Source organism: Homo sapiens, chromosome 5 (genome assembly GCF_000001405.40).
Source record: "Homo sapiens chromosome 5, GRCh38.p14 Primary Assembly".
NCBI classification, from domain to species: Eukaryota; Metazoa; Chordata; class Mammalia; order Primates; family Hominidae; genus Homo; species Homo sapiens.
In genome coordinates this window covers 90769456-90794029 of record NC_000005.10, presented here as the reverse complement: position 1 = coordinate 90794029, position 24574 = coordinate 90769456, and the positions used below count along the sequence as shown (strand labels likewise).

The following is a 24574-nucleotide window of genomic DNA, read 5'->3' as shown; positions in this document are numbered from 1 at the left end:
GGAAGAAAGAAACCGTTGAAAAAAATCTTGTCTTTGGTTTAAGTGCATGTCACACCTTTCCCCAAACAGTTCCTTGGAAGACTAACTCACCAACACCTAAAAATCTATGTGCAGTCTTACACCACAATCCTGGAATGTGCCAGAGAGAAGGAAGCTGTGCAACTTGAAATAGGTTAAAAAGAGATATTAAAGTGACCAAAAAAGAGGGTTTTTATGCATGCATAAACTAGTAAACTTTTGTCACTCTTTATGAAAATAGAAATCATAAAAATAATTAAAATGGGTTCAAAGACAATATTAAGAAATTCATAAATGATAATTCATTTATCATATTAGGAAAGCTAAGTATTTTTATGAAATGCAATGCTAAGCTTTCAAATGAAATGAAAAGTGCACTACCACATGCTTCAAAATGTTCCAGGTACCGTGAAAAACAATCTAACAACTAGGCAGATCAAGGGTGTTAGTCCATGTAATATACATCACATATTTTGGGTTTCTTATGCCTGAGAGCAATTTTGTACTATACACGTTGCTTAGTAAAACAATACAATATCTAATCTTCTCTTTGGCCTGCCTTATTGTCAAATGAAAACTTACTATAAAATGATACCAGCTATTTCTGGAAAAGTTAAAGGATTGCCCCCTAGTGTTCTTTAGCAGCTTATAAATTGAATATGTTCAGAATGTAATGCTATGAATACATGGGAAAATGTTTCGAGTTACACAATTTAGGCATATTGTATTTTTTAAACTTTTTCTAATTTGTAAGTGAGACTTGATACAATGATACTCTGGTTAACTTAATCCACTTCTCTTTTTCCATTTTTGTACTGTTTAGCCTTGAGAGCTGTCGGATACAGGAAATGCAGGTTAGAAATTGATAAAGTAAGGTCATGACATTGAGTCAGTTTCCCAAGGAACTACAACAGGTCTTCAAATCACACAGTTTCACTCAATGCTGTTTCATATAATGTTGATGAGAAAAAAATCAATTGCCAGCCAGGGCAACTGTCCGTGTGGAGTCTGCACATTCTCCCCATATCTGCATGGGTCTCTCCAAGTGTTCCAGTCTCCCCCACATTCCAAAGATGTGCACGTGAGGCTGAATCAGCATGTGTCAATGATTCCAGTCTGAGTGAGTGTGGGTGTGAGTGTGACTGTGCCCTGCGATGGGATGGAGTCCTGTCCAGGGTTGATCCCTGCCTTGAGCCCTGAGCTACCATGGAAGGCTCTGGCAACCTACAACCTTGAAATGGAAAAATAGGGTGAATAATTATTTTGTTTTTATTACTCTTTCTCAAATGCAGGTATAGCTCACATTTATTTCAATGTTTAATTTCAAAGTAGCTGATCTTTATTATAAGTCTGGCGCTGTTTTTGTGACCAGAAATATGCTGTAGGAACTTAACTATTGTTTTTTATATCAATTAGCTTACGGTAAAATTGGTTACATTGTACATCATTTCACTTAAAGCTGCAGTTTCCAAGAACCTGTGGACATTAACTGAGGACATATTGTACAGGAATGTAGGAATAGCTATGAAACCCATGTCTCACTAAGAAGACCCCATTTGTTTTCTTTATTAAGCAACTACAAAAGGCTCGAGTACACAACACATCAAAAGGTAGCACTGTAAGTATGGATTAGTGTAATAGGCTTGTTGCTTATCCGGAAATGATAGCCTATTTTCTATGGATCACAAGTTTATATGAAACTAAGCTGACACTGGCTGAATAACACACCTCCATGAAAGCAGCACCCAAATGCTCAAGCCTTCATGGAGTTGATTTGGGTGTTCCCAAAGGCTTCAGAATTCCCCTCTTCACCATTCCTCGACAGAGAGAATATATTCTCCTTTTTCATTCTCTCTAGCTACATAATTCACCCTGCAAGTTTTTCTCAAGATGACACCAATCTGTCTACTTCTTGGACAGCCTTTCTTGCCCATGAGATAATTAATCCCAATGCCATAATGCATCCAGTGGCAATGAATGCCATAATGCATGCACAGAGGATGATATGACATGTACCATCCTTGGGAGGAATTAAAAAAAAAGTCACTCAATCACTTTCTGTGGTTCAGACTGAGAAAGACTGCTGGGCTGTCTGCTTGAGCCACAGGACATCCATGCATTCTGATCACCCACCCCAGATCTTGGCAGAGCAGCCTGCTATGATTTCTCCTCATTACCATTAGAGAATATCATAGCCAATTTCCTACATTTCAACTTTTCAAAAAGAGAAGCAGTTACCAGTCTCTGTATTCACAAATCCTCTTCATGTAATCTATTTCATTGCACTACTCTTTGCTAGAAGCACAAAGAAGCCTATAAATTTCTCCCCTTTGACAAGTATCAGTGTGTGTGCGTGTGCATACACATGTCCATGGGTGTGCAGGTGTATATGCACACCACTGGAAACATTTCCTAGAACTTTGTAAGTATTAAATAAGTGTCTGTTACTTTCTACACAAAAATCTATTATCTCCATCCAAATAGTAATATACTTATTATAATCTGCAAATGTATTATCCAGTAGTTACTAAACATTTTCGAGGGCATTTTTTTGTGGTTCCATTTAAATACCTGAATAAGATTTCAAACTGATTATGAGGTAAGCATGGGCACTCCTGAAAGGGTTTTATTGGAATGATCAGGAAACTGAAGAAATGCCACAAACCTGATTCTTTATTGGCACCACGTCCACTTTATATGTGGCACCATCTTTGACCACCAGCTGCCTCTCTGCATTTTCGGTAACAATCGGCTGTTCTTTATGATCCGATGATATTCGAAGCCCAACAGCCACATCTCCAAATGTTCCAGCAAGCCGGGTTATGTTAATTTGGATGGATCTAATAAGGTTCTGCCCAATAAGTATTGACTGGCGATCCGAATACAGGGCAAATACTCCATGTGGGTCATCATTTGCATAAACAGAGAACCATGTGATACTCTTCTCCAGATCCAGTTCGGCTCCTCCCTCTACAGAAACAAGCTGGATCACATAATCTTCCTCTATCTCAGGTACCTCATCTGGTAGCAAATGAACATCAAAGCTAGCTTCACTCTCTCCATCAGCAATGGTGAAAAATCCACTGGTGGAAAGAAAGTCTTCAGTAATGTCAAACTCACTACTTAATTCCCAGTAAACCTAAAATAAAAGAAAAAAACTCAACAAAGTTATATAATTCAGTATATTGCACCAAATTCCCTTAAATTATGTTTTTCTCTATAATATACAAAAAAAAAATATAATTGTGCATCACTATATTCAAAGCCAAACTCTCTAAGTATATGTTAGCTTGGAAGGTATATTGACTCAGGCTGTTGAATGCTATTTGCAGGATAAGATTACAAAATCTCATTATTTTACCTGCTTCTAAAATAACAGCACAATTTGAAGGGACACAGAGAAGCAAGCTACCTTAAAAATTCCAGTTCCACAAATAACTTTAGTAGTACACCACACACAGTATTTCAAGGTAAAAAGTAGATAATTTGACAATTCAAATCAGAATTTTTGTTTGTTTTTAATAAAAAAGGACTATCTATGAGATATAAAAAATCAATCATTATTTTCCAAGAATTGCTGGCCTCAAAACTATGAAGTGTCAACTGAAGAAGCACCAGTTAATATCCAATACAGAAAGAGAGGTCAGTGTATAGAGAAATTTCACAAAATATGTTTTTCCTGCAAACAAATTACCTTGATCTGTTAATCAAATATCATGAAAACTTACAAGGGCATCCCCAAACATTCTATCTAAATATACATGCAAAGACAACCTCTTAAAAAACAGTTGCTAAATGGAAAAATTCTAATGAGAAATAAGGCCCTGGAGAATTTACACAAATCATTGAGAGGCTTAAGTAGGAAAGCCTTCACATTATAGCAAACAATAAAATGTAAAATCATTTGGTTCTTTATGATTAAGTGTGAGGAAAATCTTTCTGAACTAACTGTAACCAATTTTAATTTAGAGAGATAGCTAGAGGTTGATGCTGATGAGAGAGCCCAAAGATGTTTAAATAAAGCCTCTGTTTCTCTGAAAACTCACGTAACTTTAGTTTATCAAAAACTTTAATTAACTAGAACATGCAGTTTCCCTGTCCCTCTTAACCACATTTGTTAGGCAAACTGGTACTTTGAAAAATCAAATGAAAAGTAATACCATAATCTCTCCAAAGGTGCCCTTGACTCTTCTGACAAAGAAGGTAATGAGCAGGGGCCCTTCCAGAGCCAGAGGCTCTGAATAAGTCTTCTTAGACAAAGTTTCAGGAGCAAACTGAACAACTCCATTTGGGTCACCAAACTCTTGTATCTAAAAAATATAAACAACAGAGAAAATAATTTATAAAACAATAGGGATGAAATTATAGTATCCAACATATTAACAAACAGAGAAGCTGAGGAAATGAAAGAAACATAAAAATGACACTTGAATATACTCTACTTAGCTACCTAATTTTTGAAAACTTCTTTATCACATTGACTGTTACCTAAAACAAGTAGGTTCTTATTCCCCAAAGATGATGGGAATAAGAATCCAGAAAACTCCCATTTGTAGAATCCCAAGAGAATAGTAATTTGATGCCTGAATTTCGCTTTATTCATCTCATATTTACTACATTTAATCAGTTAATTTTAGCTAAATTCTTCCTACTAGCTATGATATACATGGAGTGAAGCAAACAGGCCCTGTGAGGACTAATTTTGTGTATCAGCTTGCCAAGACTATAGTGCCCAGTTGTTTGGTCAAACGCTCATCTAGATGTCACTGTGAAGGTATTTTGGAGATATGATGAATACTTACAATCAGCTGACTGTACGTAAAGGAGATCACCCTCAAGAATGTGAATGGGCCTCATCTAAACAACTGAAGGCCTTAAGAGCAAAAACTGAGGTTTCCTGGAGAAAAAGGAATTCTGCCTCAAGACTGTAACTTAGGAATCCTGCTTGAGTTTTTAGCTTACTGAACTGCTCTGCTCCACAAAACTGCAACTTCAACTCTTTCCTGAGTTTCCTTCCTGCCAGCCTATTTCATGGATTTTGGACTTGCCAGCCCTCACAATCATGTGAGTCTGTTCCTTCAAATCTCTCTCTCTCCCTCCACCCTGCTGTGTGTGTGAGTGTGTGTGTGTGTGTGTGTGTGTGTGTGTCTGTGTCTGTGTGCATGTCTGTCCTACTGGTTTTGTTTCTCAGGAAAACTCTGACTGATATAGATCTCAAATAAGAGTATTTTACAAACTTCAAAAAAATGGGTCATCCCTCTGCATTATTTTCAGTAGTCTTGGTCCCAGCACTTTTTGCCTTAACTAAACAAGTACCATTTTTTCCTTCAAACTATCTGGAATATAACTAGTTAATAATTTTTACATTCCCTGAAGACAAAGATATCCAATGTTTGGTATGCTATAACAAATACCTCTGCTCTAAAACTGTCAAATATTCCAAAAACACCAAATTTTCTCCAAGCTTATAAAATAAGTATCATATACTAAAATGTTTTTAAAAAAAATATTACCAATAATCAGGCTATGCAATGAGCTGACATGAAAACCAAAAAGTTTGACCCTTCAGAATTATTATGATATTATTTGGTTTTATAATTTCCAATTTATCACAAGCTTATAGAGTTTCAACAAATGTAAATGTATTTTCTGATAAATCCATGAAATCCACATTTTGTGAGAAAAATAAAGCCATACATACGGTTAATGTAACATCTTTAGCTCTGGAGTCTAATTTAGCTTCTCCTTTCACAAGATGAAGTTTAATAATGAATGTCTCTTCAACTTCAATTTCTTCATGAGGATAGATTGTCAGAATTATGGTTCTCACTCCTCCTTCTCCTTCTCCAAAATAGAACAACCCGCTCACTGGGTCTGCAATGTCTCTATTCTGTGGCAGTAAGGCTTCTTGAGAGTTGGGTCCTACTGTCTCCCAGTTCACCTGCGGGATGTTTTTGGTTTTGGTATTTCTTTAATAGAGATCAATTTTAAGCAAAAAACTATTTCAGGGTATCTAGTATTAAGAAAATATATACACATATAGGAAAATTATTCTAGGATAATTCCATCAAATTCCTGTTTCATAAACTTGTTTTTTTTTGTTAAAAATAATGATATTTGCAGCTGGGTGTGGTGGCTCACGCCTGTGATCCCAACACTTTGGGAGGCCGAGGCGGGCAGATCACCTGAGATCAGGAGTTTGAGACCAACCTGGCCAACATGGTGAAACCCCGTCTCTACTAAAATTACAAAAATTAGCCGGGCGTGGTGGCAGGCGCCTGTAATTCCAGCTACTCGGAGCTGAAACAGGAGAATTGCTTGAACCTGGGAGGCGGAGGTTGCAGTGAGCCAAGATCACGCCACTGCACTCCAGCCTAGGCAACAAAGAGCGAAACTCCATCTCAAAAAAAAAAAAAAAAAAGAAAGAAAGAAAGACAAAAAGATATTTGCAACTATAAACTACATACCTATAGTATTCATGAATAATTTGTCATCACATAGGATAAAAACATATAAAAATCTATATTAAAATACGTATTAGAGAAATATAAACATTTTAAAAATATATAAGTACAATACTGTCCTGCTGTGTGCACAGGCTGTGCCAATCAAAACCTATATAAATAAGACAACAAAACCATGGAAAAACTCTGCTGTAGACCATGCAAAAATGCTAAATCTACTTATATTCCTAGTGTAAAAGACACGGAAATCTTCATACATTGTTATAAGAAACAAAGTTTTCTACATTTCTATGATTTGAAATGGTATGCCTCTCACACAATCTACAAAGAAAGAACATTGGGCACTTGTTTTTGCTTCTTAATCTTTCATCAGCAGCCCTCCAGCTGACTATTTCCTTCTTGAAACACCATGTCCTGTCGTCTTGGCTTATGTGATACTCATGTGCCACCTGCTTTCCTAGTTTTCCTCCTCCTTTACTTCTCAAGCTTCTCTGCTGGTTCTCCTTCCTCTGATCTCTAAATGGTGGAAGCTCAGGACTCAGCACCATATCCTTCCTGTTTCCAGATATGCCCCTTAGGCCCCACGTGTTCAAACACCTCCCCATGTGTCAACATCTTCCAGACCTGCATCTGCAGCCCTGACCACCCCACAACACACAGTCGCATGCTGCCCTGCCTATGTGACCACCCTCCCCTGGGATGTCAGTAGTATCTCAGAAGAACACGCCCAAAACAGAACTCTTAATTTCTCCTTGAGCTTCTGCATCTTAGTAAACAACCCTACAAATTATCCAGCTGCTCAAACTTAAATTCAAGGAGTTATCCTTGATTCCTGTCTTTCCCTCAGCCTCTACTTCTAGCCCAATGAATTTTTCTTCCAAATATCAATGTATACCCACTTCTCGCCATCTTTATTTCCACCACCTTGTCTGAGCCACCATCAGCTTTGACATGGAGAGTAGAGGGAAATAAACAGCCTCCTAGCCATCCTTCCTGCTCCTATGCTGCCCCACCAGCTTCTTGAATCCATTTTCCTTGCACTAGACTTAAATGAGCTGCTTTAAAAGACAATCTGGTGACATTGTTCTCTGGCTTACGATTTTCTAATGGCATCCTATTTGCACTTAGAATGAAATCTTTTATTTATTATTATACTTTAAGTTCAAGGGTACATGTGCACAACGTGCAGGTTTGACACATAGGTATACATGTACTATGTTGGTTTGCTGCACCCATCAACTCGTCATTTACATTAGGTATTTCTCCTAATGTTATCTCTCCCCTAGCCCCCCACCCCCCAATAGGCCCCAGTGTATGATGTTCCCTGCCCTGTGTCCAAGTGTTTTCATTGTTCAATTCCCACCTATAAGTGAGAAAATGCAGTGCTTGGTTTTCCATCCTTGTGTTAGTTTGCTGAGAATGATGGTTTCCAGCTTCATCCATGTCCCTGCAAAGGACATGAACTCATCCTTTTTATGGCTGCATAGTATTCCATGGTGTATATGTGCCACATTTTCCTAATCCAGTCTATCATTGATGGACATTTGGGTTGGTTCCAAGTTTTTGCTACTGTCAACAGTGCCGCAATAAAAATACGTGTGCATGTGTCTTTATAGCAGCATGATTTATAATCCTTTGGGTATATACCCAGTAATGGGATGGCTGGGTCAAATGGTATTTCTAGTTCTAGATCCTTGAGGAATCGCCACACTGTCTTCCATAATGGTTGAACTCATTTACACTCCTACCAGCAGTGTAAAAGCGTTCCTATTTCTCCACATCCTCTCCAGCATCTGTTGTTTCCTGACTTTTTAATGATCGCCATTCTAACTGGAGTGAGATGGTATCTCATTGTGGTTTTGATTTGCATTTCTCTGATGACCAGGGATGACGGCATTTTTTCAGGTGTCTGTTGGCTGCATAAATGTCTTCTTTTGAGAAATGTCTGCTCATATCCTTTGACCACTTTTTGATGGGGTTGTTTTTCTCTTGTAAATTTGTTTGAGTTCTTTGTAGATTCTGGATATTAGCCCTTTGTCAGATGGATAGATTGCAAAAATTTTCTCCCATTCTGTAGGTTGCCTGTTCACTCTGATGGTAGTCTGTTTTGCCTTGCAGAAGCTCTTTAGTTTAATTAGATCCCATTTGTCAATTTTGGCTTTTGTTGCCATTGCTTTTGGTGTTTTAGACATGAAGTCCTTGCCCACGCCTATGTCCTGAATGGTATTGCCTAGGTTTTCTCCTAGGGTTTTTATGGTTTTAGGTCTAACATTTAAGTCTTTAATCCATCTTGAATTAATTTTTGTCTAAGGTGTAAGGAAGGGATCCAGTTTCGGCTTTCTACATATGGCTAGCCAGTTTTCCCAACACCATTTATTAAATAGGGAATCCTTTCCCCATTGCTTGTTTTTGTCAGGTTTGTTGTAGATGTGTGGTGTTATTTTTGAGGCCTCTGTTCTGTTCCATTGGTCTATATATCTGTTTTGGTACCAGTACCACGCTGTTTTGGTTACTGTAGCCTTGTAGTACAGTTTGAAGTCAGGTAGCATGATGCCTCCAGCTTTGTTATTTTTGCTTAGGATTGTCTTGACAATGTGGGCTCTTTTTTGGTTCCATATGAAGTTTAAAGTAGTTTTTTCCAATTCCTTGAAGAAAGTCATTGGTAGCTTGATGGGGATGGCATTTAATTTATAAATTACCTTAGGCAGTATGGCCATTTTCACTATATTGATTCTTCCTATCCATGAGCATGGAATGTTCTTCCATTTGTTTGTGTCCTCTTTTATTTCATTGAGCAATGGACATCTTTAACCTGGCTTAGGAGGTTCCATGTGATCGAACATCTATTGGGCCCTCTGGTCTATCCTGTGCTGTTATCCCCTTAACTCCAGGCCCCGACCACATGAACCCCTCCATGCCTGAAACATGCCAGCTTATGCCTCTGCAGAAGCTATTGTTCCTTCTGCCCAAATGCTCACCCTTCTAACCTCTTTCTCCTAATGCATCTTTCAGCTGAAATATCACATCCTCACCAACAGCACTCGCAATTGTGTCTCCCAATTTTACAAGCAGAGCCCTTACTGTTATCAGATCAATTTATTTTTAGTTGTTTATTGCTCAGCTCTGCTTAATAAAATGAAAACTCTGTAAGAACGGAGATGAGGTCTATCTAGTTCCTCAGTATATTCTCAGTACCTAGAACAGTGTGTGACACACAGAAAGCACTCAACAAATACTTGTTGAATTAATGAATTTTATCAGAATCATTCACTTCATTTCTAACAAGCCCTCAAGGTTCCCTGAGGACAGATGTATGCCTTATACATTTTTATGTACTTAATCTGGCTCAAAAGCTGCTGTACACATACAAGATAATTAATAAATATTGATTGGCTGTGAATAAAGAAATATACTTGGGCAATGAGAAAACACACTACCATACTCAGTCTATCAAAAATTATATTTAAAGTCATGGGGAACATAAATCTACCTGAATCTCTCCCAAGAGTCCTCCAGTCCGCTCCAGCACCAGTGATAAAATCATTGTGGAATTGGGATTAGCAATAGAAATTTTGCTTTGATTGAGAAACCTTATAACTCCAAAGGGAGAGTCACTCTTAGCTATTATGATTCTGCTCACTAGGTGGCGCCCAAGGACCGCTCCTCCAGTAGCTCCAGTGAGTAGAATTTCAATGGGCTCCTCAAATTCACTGCATGGCAAGAAGGAGCAATTCTGTGAGTCTAAACATATTAAAGTGCTTGTAAAATCCCAATAACCAGTCATTTTCCAAATTGGTCATACATATTCAAGGCACAGTAGTCACACATCAAGTGGTAAGAAGTGGGTGCTTAGCTAAAAGAATGAATGATTAACATCAATATTACATGACCTAGGGCAGTTGTAGGGACTTTCTTGCCCTCTTTTTAATTGCTTAATGCATAAAGAAAGTGAATTAAAGAATGTTTCCACATTCTGATTAGATTATTTAAGTCTAGAGAAACAGAAAATATTATTTCCTTTATTTGAAATGAAGTGACATATGCAACCACATCGTCTCCTAGCCCCTCTTTCCCTACCCCTAGTACCCCAAAAGTATTTCACCTGTTGTTTTCCAATGGACACATATTATCTAAAGTTCTATTGTCAGTGCAAAACATATGTAAGAGTTTGAACACAATACTTATGTCTTATATGTGCCCACATTATTTTCTATATACCAACCTTTCATTGTCATCAATGATGGAGATATTTATAAAACTTAAGTTTTGCCCATGCTGAAAGGTGACTGTACTGCCATGCAAAATGTAATCAACACCTCCGGGACTGGCAGAGGAGCTCTGAGAGATGAAATCAGCTGTCACATAGCCATAAGTTCCATGTAGCCTCACCACTGGGATCATGATCAGCCCAACATCTTCCTCCACTGTAATGGGAACTTGGAATTAATTGGTAAGCCAGACAGAGCAACTAACTTATAAGATTCAGCCAAATTAAACCTGGCAATTAAACATAATGGCACAAAGTAAGCACTCTATGTTTTCATAGTTCTTTTATCATTTTAAAGGGGGATTAGTGAAAACCTCATGACATTTTTTAGGAGGAACATAGTTTATCAGATGTTGAAAGTTACAGAGAACAGTACAATTAGCATTTAAACAATGTATTTAATCAGTAGCATTGGCATTCTCCCTGTGTACTACATAAAAACAAATGATCCTTGCTTTCTAAGACAATGTTAGATGGATACAAAAAAACATTTAAGTTGTTTGTGCTCATAGGAAACCACTCTGGATTGCTTCCACACATTCAATTGAAATATAAATATGGTAATATAAATAAATGAGGTTTATGATATGTATATCATATGAATTTTTAAAAGTCCAGATACAAGTACAATTTGATTACATTTTCAGTTCCTATGAAATCTACTTGTGAATCTGAAAATGTGTCTTCAATGTTTGATTTCAACTTAAACATTATTTTCAAAAATATATTTCTTAAGCTATGCTAAATTCTGCATATTAAAATATAATTTAATAGGGCTCACATTAGCTATGGCTAAATAATACTCAATGTATATTATAAATATAAATATACACTGACCAAAATTCCCAAAGATAATGAATCTAACAGAAAACAATGAACTGAAAAAATTCCAAGTCTCATTTATTTCTTAATGCAAAAATGTAATATGATTTTTTCCAGGTACAGATTGAAGTTCACAAAATAGTGATGTATTCCACAACTTACCCATAAACTCATTATAAACCAACTCCTAAAGCAATTTTTTATGAACTTTAAAAATGGCTAGATAACCAAAGAATTTTGATAGAGGCAATGAAGCCAATCAGGTTAAATGCAGCAGTAAGATATTTATTTTTAAAGTCATATTCATATTCTGCCTTTGAATAAAATCATTTCCTAGAAAGGCAGCCATCTCTTCCTACCTGGGAAGGAATATAACCATATATTCTGTATTCTGCTTCTACAAGAGGAAAGAATTGGCAATATTAGGCAAGCTGCTACTGGGGACTGTTTCGAGAAAGCAAGATCAAGGATCCAGATACTACCTGCATCTCTAGGCCAGTAAAATATTCATTTCAAAGATGATTATTCATTAGGAAGTGAATATTCACTGATTTCTAGTCACATAGGAAATTAAATATGCACAAATTACAAAGGCTTTCATTAAAATGTTTGAAACAGAAACATTTTAATAATCCTAATGTTAAACATAGTTTTTCTAGACAGGCTTGTTCCTAACATTGCCATTCACAGTAAGGTTCAAGACTACCCAAAGATAACTGAAAATGTATTTCAAATAAGTAAATAAATATAAAAGTGTATATGTGTAAACACAAACACACACACCCACACCAAACTAAAACAATTTACACACGGAAATTCAAACTAATGTAATTTGGAAAGTGGTAGTAAACTTACTTACAAGCTAGCTGACTGAACCTACCTTCGAAGGCAGTATACTTTGGGTCAAATTCAATGATGCCTTCTGCGTTATCATTTTTCATTATTATGATGCGAACAATGGAGATGTTTCCTATTTCAGGAGGTTGATCTATCTGAAGTCCATTTTCTTGAATGGTAAAATCATACCCTCTTCCAAAGTCATACAAATCAAAATAAAATAAAATACAACAACAACAAAAAATACATAATTGCATAGCATGAATTAAAAGATCCTCTTAGCTCCTACAACTTAGTTCTATAAAGTACTGCAATACTTTTAAAGATCCTCAACGCTAAAATATTCTCTTTTTCCTGAAATGATGTTTTGAAACAGATTTCTGTGTTGCTCCCAATGAGTGGTGCCTGTACGAAGCCAAAACTAATATAAAGTTACTAAACTTGGGCAATGGGAAGATAATAAACTGTGAGGAAATCAGAAAGATGCTGTCATAAAATGAACCTTTGGGAATCACGGCTGAATACATACATATACAGTAATAGACCTAGTGCACTCAGAGATAGGTAAGTAAGCAGGCGGCCTTGAGATTTACAGTGTTAGGTTAAGATGATTTATTCAAAGAAATAGTGAGTGTCATGACACTAATTAAATTTCAAACTAAATCATCAAGATTCAAAAGAAATATCTCTCAATACCAACCTGGGCAACATAGTGAGTGAGACCTTGTCTCTACTAAAAACTAATTTTAAAAAATTAGCCAGACATGATGGCACATGCCTGCAGTCATAGCTATTTAGAAGTATGAGGTGAGAGGATCCCTTTAGTCCAGGCATTCAAAGTTGCAGTGAGCTATGATTGTGCCACTGCACTCTGTCCTGGGTGACACAGCAAGACTTTGGAAAGAAAGAAAAAGGGAAAGAAAGAAAAAGAAAGAAAGAAAAATAAAAAAGAAAGAAAAGTATTTCAATTTCTACAGAAACCAATCATAATCAATTCCTCTATCCTTAATATAGATGGTAGTTTACTTCTGTAATGATACTTCTGCAAAAGAAGTCTTTTTTTAGATTAATATTATTCCCATCAAACAAAGCTTCAACTTCCAAGGCTTTAAAATATGACTTTAATTCCTCATGCTAAAAAATGCCGATAAACCATTTTAGTCCTTCCTTCAATTCCCAAATTCTATTCTGGTATTTATACCCTACCTAGAGTTGAAAGGTTGAAAGTTGGCGAATTATATAAAAGGCAAAATTAGAAAATTGAGATTTAGAATATTAAATGATAAGAGTAACTGTTACCAGTAGTCTGAGATGGGCTGTAGATTAGCTAATTGTACTACTTACCTTTTGAGATCAAAGAAAACCTAGAAATTTATCTGGAAGGAAAAACTTGTTTCCCCAGAATTAAACTTACATAGAAACTGCTTTTTAAAAAAACAGTAGCAAAGAAGACAAAATCCTCAAGCTCTAGCTGGTCAGTAACACAAATATGATCTCACACTAAACGACTACTTTTACCAAATTGCATTTATTTAATTAAAATAGTCAGTGATCAGCTCAAACTTTTTACTATATTTACTAGGAGTACAAATTCACTCTCATTGCCAGGCATAGAAGCATTTTTGGGAAATCTAAAATTTGAAGGGTATGTGAGCCCACAATATTTTTTTCCCAGATGGGATGATATACACTTAAGTCACTGAGTAACATATTTTAGTTTAAAAAGTTTTTAAAGCATGATATTCACATTACAAAGGCAAAAATATTTTCATGCACAAGAAAAATGTCTTTATGATTCTTCTAAATGCAGGCATTACTCTAGTTGAAGGGCCCACCTATCTGCTATCTGGGCAGAGATGCTGGTAGGTCTCTCTCAACCTGTGAGCTGCAGAACCTGTGAGTACTTAAACATGCTAAAGATGTTTTTCCACCTCATCAAATCTGCCTCACTAAATCAGGGAATGAAAGAGACTCATTAAGGTTAATTCATTATCTTCCTTGAAAACATGGTGCACATTAATGGCCAACTAGCTTTCACTCAAATTTTTCCCCACTTTAAAACTATGGGGCAAGCATCTATGTCATTCACCCACAGAGAAGACGATACAGACTTCAGATGCACCAATGAAAGAAATCCCTCCCTTCAGCCCTTTCACAAGTATGGAAATCAAAAGAAGCAAATTCAGCCACACCAGCTGACCTCTGATTTAGAGAGCTGTTAGGCTGTGTCTTCACCAATTAGAAGCCGTTATCATATTCAACTTCCTGGCTACCCAGAGTGAGTCCACACAATAGAAACACATACTTTCAATTTTCAGAGGGAAGTTATATTTAACAAAATTAAAAAAAAAAACTCAGTCATTGTCATAATTTCCCTTGTATGTCCTGTTCTAATGTCACACAAATCTGAGAAAGAGTAGGGAAAGAACTGCTTTAGAGCTCAGTATTAATCTCTACACAATAGAACTTTCTCTCTTTCTCTCTGCTCTTTGCTTTCTTTTTCCTAATTGCCTTTCTCCTTTACCTTCCCTGGAGTTCCACCTTTGTAATTGTTAGAGAAAATTCCTCTGGGCCTTCAGGATAGTCATCATCAAGGATTTCAACATGCAGACTTTTCCTCATCTCCCCTGCTTCAAAGAGGAGCTCCCCTGCTGCAGGAACAAAATCCAAGCCTGCTTCCGCTGTCCCGCTCATCGTCTTGTACCAGAGTCGCACATGGCCAAAATCTCCACTGGAACGGATGATTGTGATGTTAACCTATGCAAAATGCATTTTCTTATTTGATTTGGATGTTTAATCTACCAGACAATACTGTCTGTAACTAAACGTTCTATTTACCAGGATTGTGTTAAAATTACATATAAGGTTATAAAATTATATAGATTATATGTTAAAATAATGATGTTTGGAGCAAATTAATCAGTTTATGAAAACTCTGGAATAGAAACAAGAAAACATTTTCATATCTAAAAATAAAAATGATATTAAAATCTTAAGCATTTCATACTATACCCTCTGTGCTTCTGACACTCGAAGTTGCTCATGTGAAAAGGCAAATCGGCCATAGGGAGAGTCGCTGGCCACCACCGTGATGTTGGCAGTGCTGCTGGATTCACTCAGAACTCCTCCCTCACTGACTGCAGTGAGCTGAAACTCATAGAAGCTTTTTTCCTCGGGAATGTCATCGTTCAAAGCCTAGAAAAAGACAAAGAGTCATCAACAGTAGAATCTGTGGAATTTCAAGAAAAACTCCTAACCTCTAAATAATAACAACAGATTTTGTAATATTAATCTCCTCCTCATTCCCACTCTTAATCCCATACACAGGCACCTCCACAATACCAAATGCTGTTACATTAACCTTCTCCCCAATCTCCATTGTCAACCGTACACACACACACCACACACACACACACACGTGCACGCCAACCACAAATGCTGTAATATTTACCTCCTCCCCATCCCCCACTTCTAACCACACACACACAAACACACCCACACATACACATATGCTCACACATGTGCACACACCAGCACAGAGAGTAAAGGGCATAAAAGAAACCAGCTAATATTGATACCTGTATTACTACAATGACTGCAGACTGTTCGTCTCGCATTGTCAGTTTTCCTGATGTTTCAGCAAATTCCCCCACGGAAGGAGGGAATATCCTCCAGAACACTGTGACCTCCCCCAAAATCCCTGGGCCTCGAACAAGGCTACAACAATAAACAAATGTATATCCAATACATTTCAGTTGAAGGTACTTTTCTTAAACATTTTCTCTGTCTTTTAACAGTAATCAATTTTCATCCATTTCAATAACAGTTTTCTTTTAAATAACCTCATTTACCAAACTATAAACCAAAGGAAGTCTTAAAGTTCCAAGATAGTAACACCCAAAGTATTAAGCTAGTGTAAATCTATCTTGACAGGAATACAAGCAAAAACTGATTACTAAAAGCAGAAGGTTTAAAGAAATAAAAAGAAGTATTAATATTTATAGGCTTTTCACTTAACACGCAAGGTACAAAATATGAAAAGTCTAAGTTCTCTAAAGACTGGAAGACCCTTCATATAAGGGCATGCTGATGGGAAGGGATAGTCTTACTTCTGGATAACTACCATGAGGATAAAGTATAAAGTCAAACCCAGCTATGCCATTGATAGTTGCTTCCCATCCCCCATAAGAAAATTTACCAGAAACAAACTTGCCTATGATCATACTAATTTAGTTATATGATAGGCCCTGATATGGTTTGGCTCTGTGTCCCCACATAAATCTCATGTTGAAGTGTGACCTCAAGTGTTGGAGGTGGGGCCTGGTGGGAGGTGACTGAATCATGGGGATGGACTTCCCCCTTGCTGTTTTCCTGATAGAGTTCTCACAAGATCTGGTTGTTGAAAAGTACATAGCACCCCTCCACCCCTTCCACCTGCTCCAGCCAGGTAGGACACGTCAGCTCTCCTTTCGCCTTCTGCCATAATTGTAAGTTTCCTGAGGCCTCCCCAGCCATGCTTCCTGTACAGCCTGCAGAACCTTGAACCAATTAAACCTCTTTTCTTCATAAATTATTCAGTCTCAAGCAGTTCTTTATAGCAGTGTGAGAACAGACTAATACAGACTCTGATTTTAGAACACTTGAAAGCAAAATGTTTGGCCCTGATGATGTTCTAAGGAATGATTTTGTAGCTAAGACACACAAGCTTGCAGAGATGAAATAACTCCCTTATATCACATGTTTAGTAACAGAACAGAGGTGAAAACATAGATTTTCTGATCTCAACTCCATGTGCTTTCCTTGGTGTAATTTGTGCAAATCACTCAAGAGTCAGAAACCTTCTCATGATCTAATATCAAGATAGGTCAGGATATTATTCCAATTTCTGCCCCAAATTTGTTCTCCTCTCCACAGGATGTTAACAGTATATAGAATGTTAATGCTTGAAGACTATGTATGTATTGAGAATGATAAACTTAAGACTAATGATTTAAATAAAACTTCGTAACCCCCATATAGGCAAAGAAAAATCATGAAGTCCTTACCTGATAATAGCGGTACCATTATATTTTGCTGAGGGTTCCCCAATGAGGATGTGCCTAGATGACGGAGCTATCCCAACTTCTCCTGATGCTCGCTTATCACCCCGAATAATTATTGATGCACTACCTAAATTCAAGATGATATAGACCACTTTGTAGCAGGTGCACATAAGCACTTAGTATATGCCTGGAAACTTTCTAAGCACTTTACACACAGGAATCTAGTTCATTCTCATGACTCTCATATCAGTAAGGTATTAATATCCTCATTTTACCTATGACTCTGAAGCACATTGAGGTCTTGAAGACATGGAGGCAAATCGCTTGCCCAAGATTACATTTTAATGAAAGGGGCAGAAAAAAAAATTGGCAGTAATTGCCCTATCATGCTCATGAAAAGCAAGGGCTCCTCTACCATTGGCATTAATTTGTTTCTACAGTAACCATTTTGCAGCTCACTGCAATTGACTACATAGCTATGTCAACTGGCTATATGGCAAAAGCAAGATTTCTTGGGGGCACTTTTTCATTTTTAATTTTCTGACTCTATCATTTGACTGTAAGCATTTATAAACCTGTGTCAAATATTTCTATTAAGATGGAAATAGAAAACTATATCAAGTATTTGAGTATCCATATAACTTAGCAGAAACTTAAAGAAAATTGTTTCCAGAAACACATATTAGGGGTTCATGACACAAAGAGCTGTATCACTATACTCTCACTTTCTTTGGCAATGGATTAATGGAATCAAGAGTGGCTTGTCACAGCAAGTGTCACAGTCAGACAGAAAGATATTAAGAATTAGGTGCAGTGGATCATACCTGTAATCCCAACACTTTGGGAGGCTGAGGTGGGAGGATCCCATGAGCTCAGGAGTTCAAGACCAGCCTGGGCAACATAGGGAGACTCCATCCCTGCAAACATAAAAATAAATTAACTGGGCATAGTGCCACATGCCTGTAGTCCTAGCTACTCAGGAGGCTGAGGTGGGAGGTTTGTTTGAGCCTGGGAATTCAAGGCTGCAGGAATCTGTGATCACACCACTGCACTGCAGCCTGGGTGACAGAGCAAGACCCTGCCTCAAAAAAATTTTTTTGATATGGTAAATGATTTATCCTGATCCAATCATATATTCTTCTATGTTTAATTAGCCTATGTGACATCTGTCATTTTAACATGATGTAGATAACTAAAGACTTATGAAAGAGTTAACTAAAGCTAACTAAAGACTTATAAAAGAATATGGTGCAGTGATGTCATTCCCTTAATGGAAAATATCCTAAATAAAATGCAGAAATTATAACTACCCTAAGTATACACAGTGATAGATACTCTACAATTCTAAAAATTTCCTTGGACATTAAATCTGCTTTTAGTCACATAGGATGGAGTTCTTGATGGCAAAAAAGAAATGTATTAATCACCAAATTTTCATGCTAAAAGTTTCTGAACCAGTTTTTTATGGTTGGTTATTATTGTTTATAGCACAATAAAACCATTTTAGAATCATTACTCTTTTCTCTATGGATCCAAAAAACAAATCATCATATCAACTGGAGGCAAATGAGAATTAAAATGCCTGTTTCTGAAGTGTCAAAATATTTGAGTAACTACTTTCAGATGAAAACAGACGTACATAGGCTATAATGCTAAACATAATATGACACATTTAAAAATAATGTTTTATTACAAAGGTAAAGTGTGATAATTGTAAATATGTTTAGAAAATATAGGTAATCAAAAACCACTATTAACATTTCAAATAAATAATTCCAACCTCATGTAAGACATGCACATGACAAAACAGATTACATTTAGCATGTTGTTGCAAAACCTGTTTTCTTAACGTGACAATTATCCATGTAATTATGTGTTCTTAATTTTTAATGTAATTGAGAGTTTTTCCTGTTATGTCACGTTGAATGGCTGCCTAGTATTCTGACACATTTAACTAGTCTCCTACTGTTGGACCATTTAGGAAGCTGACATATTTTATTTTACATTTTATAAACACTGCTACAATAAACATCTTCATTAGAAAAAAATTACACAGCTAAGCTGTATGAAATCTTTGACCTATGACCTTACCAAGATTGGGTATTATAATTTTAATTTAAAAAATTCTTAACCTTTAATACATGTGGAAAATGGTATCTTTATGTTTTAGGAATTATGAAACCTAACCCTGTCCATTTTTGTAACTACGGGTTATTTTTATTACATTTTTTCTGAGAATTTACTTTTTAATTTCCAAAAATGTGAATTTCTCTTACCTTTTACTGGAGATATTTCTACCTCATCAATTGATATCAGCTGAATGGTGAAACGCCTGTCCTCCTCCAACACTGTGTCTTGAAGTGTGTGCAACACAATGGTCTTCTGGGACTCAGTCTACATCCAATGACAGAAACAGTGCATTTTCCAGATTGACCAAAGCCAAAGTTTGAATGTTGTCATTAGCAGAATAACGTTTATGTCCATAATCATTTTTAAGGGTGTCTTTTTTGTCACTAGAATTACGAGTTGCAGCTAGAAAGAATTACTCCACAAAAATCAGTTCTGAATACAAATTCCACTTAGGTTCTTTATGGGGAAAATGGGAAAAGAATACAACCCCTAAATTTACTGAAAAATGTTAACCGTTGAAAATCCAATCTTTAAAGAAAGCCAAATGATCACACAATGATGTAAACAGACAAAGGTCATAGACTTTATAAGAAACAGCTCCATTCAAAGGAGAAAACAAAGTGTGAATGACATTAGATCACAGTTGTAGGGGCAACCACAGCCCTGAGATGCCAGCCGTTGTTCATCAACACTGGATATCCAATTCATGGTATATTTTGCTGATGTTAAATTAGTAATGGCAGCTTCTAGTTAACAAAAATATCTAAAGGCAGCAGTAAAGGGCCTAATTCACAAGAAAATGTAGTTTTTCTGTCTAAGACCTTGGTCTTTTATATGCATGTTTCAGTTTTCTTTTACCTTCACCTTTAAGATTTTGTTTTTATCTTTACTCATATCAGTTCCACTTGTTTCTTGCTGAATCTATTCCTAGGTATTTTATACTTCTTTCTCATAGTACATTGTTTCTCATTACTGGTAACTCATAAGAATGTTAATGATTTTATTTTTTCTTATTTTTTTTCTTGGATCTCAGGTGCATAGTTTGAATTGGTCCTACTTCGGTCAACAGCATTGTTTCTACTGGACAACAAATGGTCTTTTATTATAATTTATTCTTTTTGACCCATTTATTAGCCCATTTCGATCTCCCTTTGCAAAACTCTTCCCATCATATTATTCACTCTAAAATGCACTGTGTCTCCTTAATTTTTCCTTCAATGCACACTGTTGAGGTTACCCATGTTTTCTTATGTAGACTCAATGTATTTTTTTTTTTTTTTTGAGACAGGGTCTCACTCTGTCACCCAGGCTGGAGTGCAGTGGTACGATCTCAGCTCACTGCAACCTCTGCCTCCCAGGTTCAAACTATTCTCCTGCCTCAGTCTCCCGAATAGCTAGGATTACAGGTGTGCGTTAACCATGCTCAGCTAATTTTTGTGTTTTTAGTAGAGACGGGGGTTTGCCATGTTGGCCAGGCTGGTCTCAAACTCCTGTCCTCAAATGATCCACCAGGCTCTGGCTTCCCAAAATGCTGGGATTACAGGCATGAGCCACCGCTATCAGACTCAATGTATTATTTTCATTGCTGTGGGGATTCCATTGTTTGCCTTTATACTATTTGCAAGATTTATCTGACAATGGCTATTTACTATTACAAATAATATTGCCATAAACATCTTTACATACTTCTTTATATGTACAGTAATTTCTCCAAGGTGCTACTGATTTTATATACAGTTGGTTCCTCTATTCTTGGATTCCTTATTTGCACATTTGTCTACTCATCCAACTTTGTAACCCCAAAATCAATATTGAGCACTTTTGTGGTAATTTGCAGACATGTACATATTGGCAAAAACTTAGAATCATTCAAATACATTTCTCATGTTTAATAAGCACTATGACTCACACCTGAATAAAGTTCATCTAACATACATATTTTCTACTTAGGGTACATCACAGCCTTCTTGTGCTTAGGAACGCCATATTTCAGCACTATACTTGGGGGCAAATTTAAACAGAAAACTCACCAACAGAAAGCACAAAAATTTAAAAAAGTGATAATAAATGGACTGGAAAAAGAACATTTGTTTACAACATGAGAGCTGAAACAAAGTCAAGGTGTTGGCTTCTTCAACCTCGGCTGGAAATGCACAAATCAGGTGAATCAAATTCTCCAACACTTTCTGTATGTCCCTGAATGACCATGAAAACACCAGAAGTATCGACTTTGGAGGTTGCAAATACACCTTAGTGAGTAGGGAAATTCACAAGTAGGGGATTGTGAATGATAAGGATTGGCTACTGTGAATCATGAGAATCAACTATATTTTATATGTTTATATTGCCTTCCACCTTATCTACTGTATATGTAAGGCAGCTCTTCATATCATATGCTCTTCATTTCTCAAAGAAATCTACAACCAGTAAGAGGGGGGAAAAGGGTGATTACAGGTGGAAAATCCCAGCCAATGGTTACGAAAGATAGTAATAAATGTTCTGGGATAAAAAGGTGATGGGGAAGTTTCATAGGGGAATAAATTCCGAATATTAGAGATTCAAAATGGAATTCAGTATATTAAAGTGTCTAAAAATAATCCTGCATAGAAAGAGCCTACTTAGCTCAATCAAGGTTTTCCCAAGTCCATGTGAACCTGGAATCCCTTTCTTTCTTTAAAATTCAGAACAATTATTTCTATTCTGCTGAATAGCAGTGCAGAGCAACAGTTTGAGAAATGGTACTATATATAGGCTATCTCAGGAAAATAGAAATATAAATTTTTCCTGTTTTTAAAAAATTTAAAACCTTTAATTTTTTATTCTATGATGTAGAAAAGGTGTTGAATTTTAAAAATTTAAAGCCTTTAATTTTTATCCTATGATGTAGATATTAAGTTGAGGTAGCAACCTGCTATTTCATTAAAATGTTTCTAAATTACAGTTGTTGTATAAAACACTTTCTAAATGTCTGTAAATTGGTTAGTTTCTTCACAAACATTATTTCATGCAATACTCAGAGCCTTTGTTTAGATTAAGCCTTATTATCCTCATTTTGCAACAAAGAACCCAAATGTGAGAGAAATTAATTTTCCTAAAGTCACATGGCATTAAACAGTAGAGTGAAGATTTGGATTAAGGTCTAGCTGGCTATAAAATCTATATCCTTTTTACTTTTCAGTGGCTACTTCCCATATCTCAAGAGAACCAAGATTGCGAAGATAGTAAAGGAGAGGAAAATAATACAAATATAGGTGATGGAAGTCTGCAAAAGTATATAAACATTTGGGAAAGGAGAACTAGACAGAACTAAATACTAAACAAGAAATGTGAATCCCAGAAAGATATAAAAAATGTAAGAGAACTATAAACACCACAGTAAAACAGTGCTCATGAAGAAATGTCAATAGTATCAAATACTAAGGGGAATCTATGCAATGAAAAATATGTAACCAATTTTTTTAGTGCAATGGATTTTAGCTAGTATGAAAAAGAAATGTTTAAGATAGATTATAAAGTAAAAAGAGCAAGTTACTGAACAGATTGCAGTGTAAAATTCCATTTGTGTAAGAATAAGACACATATGTTTGGATACGCATAAAAATTTTTCAAAGGGTATATAAAAAACTGTCAATAGCGGTTACCTCTGGGAAGTAGGAATATAAGATTCAGAAGGAGTCAGGGGAATTTTACTCATTTTTCTACATCCTTCTGTACTGACTGAGGTTTTTTTGTTTTTGTTTGTTTGTTTGTTTGTTTGTTTTCCATGAGCACATATATTTTTACAGCAAATTAAAACAAAGATGTAGGAAAGAGACTTCTGAGTTAAACTGGCAGAGACTGGTTGCATGAGTTGTGCCTTCTTCAAATGCACATGTAGACACCATAAAGGGCCAAGACTAACAGAAAGAAAGAAACTAAAGATTAAAATCTTTCTAAAATACAGGTAAAATTTCACTAATGAAGGAATCAGTTTGGAGTAGACTAGAGGATACACATTCCACGCCATGAACCTAAATAACAAGAAGTACCACAAAGTGGGTGTTAAGGTTTGGCTGTGTCCCCACCCAAATCTCATCTTGAATTGTAGCTCCCATAATCCCCACGTCATGGGAGGGACCTGGCGGGAGGTGTTGAATCATGGGGGTGGGTTTTTTCCAGTGGTGTTCTCATGATAATGAGTAAGACTCACAAGATTTGATGGTTTTATAAAGGACCATTCCCCTACACACGCTCTCTTGCCTGTGGCCATGTAAGACATGCCTTTGCTCCTCCTTCATCTTCTGCCATAATTGTGAGGCCTCTCCAGCCATGTGGAACTGTGAGTCCATTAAACCTCCTTTCCTTTATAAATTACCCAGTCTTGAGTATGTCTTTATTAGCAGTGTGAGAACAAACTAATACTGGGGGTAAGACCCATTTCCTGACTTCTTTGAACTCCAGGCCACAGAGACTACACTAACCAAGAATAACTGGCTGCCACCTACCTCAGAGCTTTAGTGTTCCCACTGTTATCAGCTCTTTCATCTTTATATCAATTCTGAGTTTCCAATTCGTAATATGTAGAGAGTAAAAGGAATGGGAATGATGCACTGCATCCCAGAATTACAGATTTTTCATAAGTACATCTAATGAGGTCTCAGGCAGGGAGCACATATTTTCCTAGAAGCCCTTACAAAATTTTTTAAATGTATATATTTTAAAAATAACAATAAGCAACTATGAAGAAACAAAAGCTTGAGTGAAGAGATTAAAATAATACTATTTAATAATAAAAATCTCAAAGAAAAAATGCAATTGCAAAACTACAATGTTCATGAGAAACAATAAAATACAGAATTCAAACTGCAGAAAATTTAATCAGTGATGCATAGGACAAATTCAAGTTGTTTTAGAATGCAGAGGAAAAGGTAGAGATAAAAATGATATGCATCATGATTCTCTCTCAAAGTATTGGCATAGTTGTTCTCTGTATATTTCTTTCCTCTTATCTTCCC

General features: G+C 36.4%; 1 protein-coding gene across 14 annotated transcripts in view; it reads right to left on the bottom strand.

The window, feature by feature from the left end:
• Nucleotides 1-24574, bottom strand: part of ADGRV1 (adhesion G protein-coupled receptor V1) — a 605641-nt gene that overhangs the window by 370408 nt on the left and 210659 nt on the right. For all 14 annotated transcript variants that reach the window (NR_003149.2, XM_017009963.3, XM_017009969.3 and 11 more), the window contains 11 exons: nucleotides 19727-19844; nucleotides 17454-17577; nucleotides 15987-16125; nucleotides 15421-15603; nucleotides 14933-15165; nucleotides 12452-12600; nucleotides 10705-10906; nucleotides 9973-10192; nucleotides 5720-5959; nucleotides 4179-4328; nucleotides 2684-3157 (listed from right to left, as the gene is read on the bottom strand). Coding sequence is in view for 13 of the 14 variants with exons in the window: in XM_017009963.3 (XP_016865452.1) it covers nucleotides 2684-3157; nucleotides 4179-4328; nucleotides 5720-5959; nucleotides 9973-10192; nucleotides 10705-10906; nucleotides 12452-12600; nucleotides 14933-15165; nucleotides 15421-15603; nucleotides 15987-16125; nucleotides 17454-17577; nucleotides 19727-19844 (2232 nt within the window). In the remaining variant the exon portion in view is untranslated. The remainder of the gene's footprint in view (nucleotides 1-2683; nucleotides 3158-4178; nucleotides 4329-5719; nucleotides 5960-9972; nucleotides 10193-10704; nucleotides 10907-12451; nucleotides 12601-14932; nucleotides 15166-15420; nucleotides 15604-15986; nucleotides 16126-17453; nucleotides 17578-19726; nucleotides 19845-24574) is intronic.